The 5,430-nt window shown below is 54.0% G+C and overlaps 2 annotated features.

Annotated features, from left to right (window-relative positions):
- Nucleotides 483-1,345: an enhancer, noted in NCBI's record as "H3K27ac-H3K4me1 hESC enhancer chr2:237531303-237532165 (GRCh37/hg19 assembly coordinates)". NCBI's record gives its function as "activates a minimal SCP1, AML or CMV promoter by ChIP-STARR-seq in primed H9 embryonic stem cells {active_cell/tissue: H9 hESC(primed)}" and the evidence as "EXISTENCE:reporter gene assay evidence [ECO:0000049][PMID:30033119]".
- Nucleotides 4,603-5,102: an enhancer, noted in NCBI's record as "H3K4me1 hESC enhancer chr2:237535423-237535922 (GRCh37/hg19 assembly coordinates)". NCBI's record gives its function as "activates a minimal SCP1, AML or CMV promoter by ChIP-STARR-seq in primed H9 embryonic stem cells {active_cell/tissue: H9 hESC(primed)}" and the evidence as "EXISTENCE:reporter gene assay evidence [ECO:0000049][PMID:30033119]".

The raw sequence follows: 5,430 nt of genomic DNA on the forward strand, positions 1-5,430 counted from the left end.
GAAGGCACTAAGCTGTGCGGTTGGGTGGCAGAACAGGTCCTGACTGGAGGAGCTGCTGGCAGCACTCTGGTGAGAGGCTTTGAAGGGGACTGATGGGTTAGCAAGGTGTGCCTGGTGCCCGGTGGGTTCAGAGGCAGAGACCGGGTTTTAGCCTGGTACTTTCTCAGAGACCTGCCTGACAGCACGGACAGGCTTCCAGTCGGGTGAGTCACGGTTGGTCTAGAAGGGCATGAATCTTGTAGGGACTCCCCATGGAAGATGCTGGCGTGCTGGGGGTGGGAGGCCTGGGAGGCAGTGGAGGTGTGGGGGATGGAAGGGTGTCCTGGGGCCTCCTGGAAGGAAGAAGAGGCCTGCCTGCCTGGATGAAGTGAAGTCTCCCCCCAACCACCCCATGAACCCTGCTTCCTGCTTATCTTATTTTATAAACTAAGAACAGAAACAATAAAAACAAGCAGACAACAATACTTCAAACAATGAAAGGAAAACTGTGAGGCAGAGTGAACCCTAGGAAAAAATAATTTAAAACAATGAAGTTTTCAATAACGTAAAGATCATCTGAAAGCAACGCTGGGGTTTTGGGGCCCAGAAGCCTCCTGGGCTTCCCGTGGGTCCTCCAGGCTGCTAGGGTGCACAGCCACCCTTGGGACTGTGTGCTCAGCCCTTGGCCTCGGCTCCTTGTGGCCCCTCTCTCCCTGGTGGACCCCCCCACATCTGGTGTGCAGTATTCCTGACCACAGCGAAGCTGGCCAGTCTGAGACTGCCCCAGTTGGGATGCCATGTCGGCGTCTTTGGGTCGAAGCCCCTGGGAGGAACACAGAGTCAGTGCCCTTGGACCTGCCTGCTCAGTCCCGTGATCAGTGTCACTGGATGCCAATGTGGAAGACCCATGGCTGAAATTTGCAAATGACAGAAGTCTGTCAAGATGTTGAATTTGCTGGAAACAATTCCAGAGGCAAAGAGACCTCCCTGGGCTGGATTCTGCTGCGAACACCACATGCTGAAATGTGACTGTGATGGAGCTGCTTCTGCACCCCAGTGTGAGCTTCAGAGGCCTCTCCTCTCTTGCCGCATGAGGAACGCCAGCCCCACTGGGGGTAATTTGTCTATGATGCTACCTCATGGAACACATGGAAAGTTCCAAGTTTCATGGAACATGAAAAGATACACGATGCATATTCCTTTATGAATTCCTGCCAGGAAAAGTTGGTCTGGACTACCTGCCTAGTAGGCATCCTTTTACCAGCCATGGGAAACCTGTCATGCTTCCCTCTGTGCTCTATTTTCCAGGAAGCCTGCGCAAAAGCTTGCTTGGATGTAATAACCAGCTTATTTCAAGAAACTGGAGGACTTTTCTCTGCCAGGTCTGTTCTTTCATATACTTGTAGCTTCTCCATTTTGCCTTGTTGTGTGCTGTTTACATGCATGTTTTTTATAAGATATTCAAATGCCTGTGTAGTTAAGCAATGAGTGTTATTTCATTTTATTTATTTACTTATTGATATTTTGAGACAAGGTCTTAATCTGTCACCCATGCTGGAGTGCAGTGACGTGATCTTGGCTCACTGCAGCCTTGACCTCCTGGGCTCAGGGGACCCTCCCACCTCAGCCTCCTGAGTAGCTAGGACTACAGATGCGCACCACCATACCCGGGTAATTTTTGTATTTTTTGTAGAGATGAAGGTCTTGCAATGTTCCCCAGGCTGGTCTCAAACTCCAGGACTCAAGCAATCTGCCCACCTCGGCCTCCTAAAGTGCTGGGATTAAAAGGGTGAGCCACCACACCCGGCCAGTAGGGGTTATTTTAAAGTCTGACTCTTAGATACAGAAAAGCCACTGGTAAAGAATGGTCAGGCAGCAAAGAGTTGCTTTAGCAACGGGTAGGCTGAAAATGCCTTGGAGGAGTCAGGCCGCTGTAAATAGAGTGAGACTGGACAAGGGCGTGACTGTACGGAGACCTGAGACGGAAATAGCCAACCACGTCAAGGCTGTGGAAGATGCTCAGGCCACATCCCCTCTAGAGCATGGCCTCGAGTCCTAGGCTGGGCTTCAAGAGGGGTGGGGGCAGGCTCTGGGTGTTCAGTGTTCAAGCTGATGGGCCGTGTTGGTCAGAGAATGAGAGGGACTGAACCGCGGTGGTAATGTTTGGAGGATGTGGCTGTGGATTAGACTAATTCTGTGCGCTCCTGGCCCAGTGAGGAGAAGCTGGCTGAGTGCAAAGCCTCCCCAGGCCTTCTGCATCTAGTGGGAAGTAATGGTGATGAGGTCCCCGTCAAGGAAGGCATTCAGGAGGAGGCACTTGACCATTTTCCTAGGATGGAGTAGAGGGGCTTTGTGCATGAGGTAGGGTTGAGTTTCTGAACCTGAGAGTCAATTATCCACCTCCTATTGACAGGCTGACATGGGAAACCTCAGCAGATCCATGCAAACACACAGATTCTACCAGGGGCCATGAGGAGCGTCCCCGCATCTGAGCTGGCCTCCTTGTCTCCACTTTTTCAGGACCTGACACTGTGTCCCTCAGCCTGCTGTTCATCTGCTTGGTGTAGGTTGGGTAGCAGGTTCTGGGAGAAGAATGGGGGACTGAGGACTTGGAAACCTTCCTGTGGGATGTTCCTGGGCTGGGGGTGAGGTGTGGAGGGGAGGAGGGGCCTGTTGGTTCCTTGTTTCTGAAGCTGAGGCTTTCAGGCTGGAGCAGTCAGGTCTGCAGGAAACACCATCCCAGGCCTGTCTCCAGCTTCCCTTCACTTCTCTATCCTAAAGTTCTCCTGGGGGTTTTGGTTTCAGAAAAGTTCCTGTTGACATAAGGCTTTGGGCACTTTGGGTGACTTTGCCTCATTGGCTGCTGTATTTAGGCAGTGAGGAGGGGTGTGATGGGTCTGTGGATGTGGACCTCAGGGCCGGGAATACAAAGGTGAGGCGCATCCCAGAATGTCACCGTGACATTCAACAACTCCACTCCACATACATGGATTGAGCTCCCAGGAGCAAAGCCAGGGAAGCCACAGGGAACTCCTGAGTGCTCAGAGGCAGCGTCAGGAGCAGCGGATCCTCATGGAATGGGGCCAGGAGCTCCAGGAGGCAAACATAGGGTGCAGGATGGGAGGTCAAGAACAAGCCCTGCTGAGTCCCCACCCTGTGCCAAGTGCAGTGGGCACAGGGCTGCAGAAGTGTCCAAGGCTCGATTCCTGTAAGGAGCTGAGTGTGGAGGGCTTGGGACATTGGGGGAGGCCACTGTATGCCTAGGAACTGTAAGGCACAGTGTGGCCAGCAGACGGACACCCCACAAGGCCCATTCACCCATGATGTGGAGGGTCCCCCGGCGTTGGGCTATGCAGAAGTCCCAGTGGTCAGTGAATTGGGGATTTTGACACAAGAGCTAGAGGGGCACAGCAAGGGGCAGTGACTTGTGTGTGTGTGTGGGGGGGGGCGGGTCACAGTGAAGAGGTGACACCCTCATCCGTCAGGCAGGAAGTGAGGGCATCCATGCAGCTGGCGCAGGCGTCCACTCTGTGGGCAGCAAGACCAGGCGTCACTCCCCCTGTTTTGTAGCCCACTAACTCTGGGCCTTGTTGGCTTCCCGGACATTTGTTAGTAATAGAGAAACTGATTACACATGTGACCAGGCTCTCTGACAATGATTTCCCTCTAACAATTTCCAGGTTTTTAATCCAATTCATCAGCCATTCTAGAGTGAGTGCTTCACGAAGTCCAAGTAAGGAGCTGGCAATAATAATAAAAACTGAAGAAAGGAGAGAGGGGAAGGAAACTGAGGCCATCCCAAAGATTAAGATAAGTTTAAGCAAGCCCAGGAATGAAGAGCAGGAGTGGGGAGGCCATCGGCGAGGTGGAGCTGCTCAGGATGGGGCAGCTGCCTTGTGCTGGCCACAGGCCAGTGTGGGGAGGAAAGGGTGAGCTCTTGGAGCTCCTGGCTCAGCCTCGCTTCCGAAGCAGCATCCCTCATCTCAGTACTCTACCCCTCGTCTCAGTACTCCACCCCACGGCTCACTTTCTGTCTGGAAACCTTTCCACAGTCAAAAGACTCCTCTCAAGTCCCAAGAGCACCAACTCTCCACTGTTCAGAATCCCATCTCACCCACCTTGTTGCCCTTGTGACTGGATCCATGTCCACTGCGGAAGGAGTGTAGAGGTGTGAGAAAGGCCCAGAGAGGCGTCCCGGGTGGCTCCTTTCTCTCTGGAACCAGGACTGCAATGTAGCCTGGGTGTTCACCATTATGGACTTCCGAGCCTTTTAGACAAAGGGCCATTCATTACCATCAACGGTTCTCCGGAAAGCGCCCTAGAAGCAGCTCCCTCCTTGCCTGTGGGTCCAAGTTGTCAGGGTCTCCCTCTCAGTGTGGAAGCATCCTTGGGCTGGCCAGCCCCCGTGGAGTCACTTAGGGAATCTGGCAGGCTCCCATAGGCAGGGGCCACCCAGAGGAAGGACCTGCATACTACCACCCTCAGGGAACAGCCTGGCCAGGCTCTCAGCGGGGGCAGCATTTGAGGCTCTGAGAAGCAGAGCTGATGTCTGGCTCGGGCAGACTGGCCAGAACAAAACAGCCGATCCAAGGCAAGAGTTCCAGCTGGCAGACAAATTTCCCTGTGGGACCCACGGACCTGATGTTCTGCCCATGAGTCTCAGGGTGAGAGGGTGCTGGGGTGCGGTGGGCCCTGGCAGGACCCCCCTGTTCCCATCTCAACCAGAGAGATGCCACTGGATCAGTTTGACACATTGCAATCCCACGGAGGTTTTGGGGGATGCAGGGAGAGGTTTGCTCTTGCTGAGATGTTCGAGACCATTCGCGCAGCAGACGAGGCATGCGAGGCGCTCTCCCATGTGGTGGCTTCTTCGTCTCAGCCCCACCTGCTGCTGCCACATAAGTGCCTCACTTGTTTCTTCGTTGCCTTCCGTCCCCCCAGCACAGGAGCTGCCATGGGCTCAAGTTCTGTGCATTTTGTTCCTTGTTGGGTTCCCCACGCCTAAAACTGTGCCTGGTTCATGTCAACCCCTAAGAAATATTTGTTAATTGAGCAAGTGAAGTGCAGGGGTGGGATTCAGGAGACCCAGGTGTAAACCCAGCCCCACCGCCTGACTTTGATGAAAGGATTCAACATCTCTATTCCTGAAGCTGAGACCATCCCGGCCGCTACTGTCCACAGTGGGTGAGTCCTGGATTCCAGATTCCATCCGCACAAGGCTGAGGATGGCTCTCCTGTCTCCTAAGTGAATATCCGAGGTCGGTTCCTCCTCAGCAGCCCAGGGTGGAGGTGAGGCTGGCCAGCGGAGGGAGGCCCCACAGGTCATCTACCAAAAACCTACACTGGGACAGCTTTCCCCACACGGCGGGCAGCATTCTTCACGCTGTCCACACAGGGCCCTTCACTCAGAGCGGCCCACAATGCTCAAGCTCCCTGACACAGCCTTTGGGT

The sequence above is a fragment of the Homo sapiens genome, chromosome 2 (assembly GCF_000001405.40).
Source record: "Homo sapiens chromosome 2, GRCh38.p14 Primary Assembly".
NCBI lineage: Eukaryota > Metazoa > Chordata > Mammalia > Primates > Hominidae > Homo > Homo sapiens.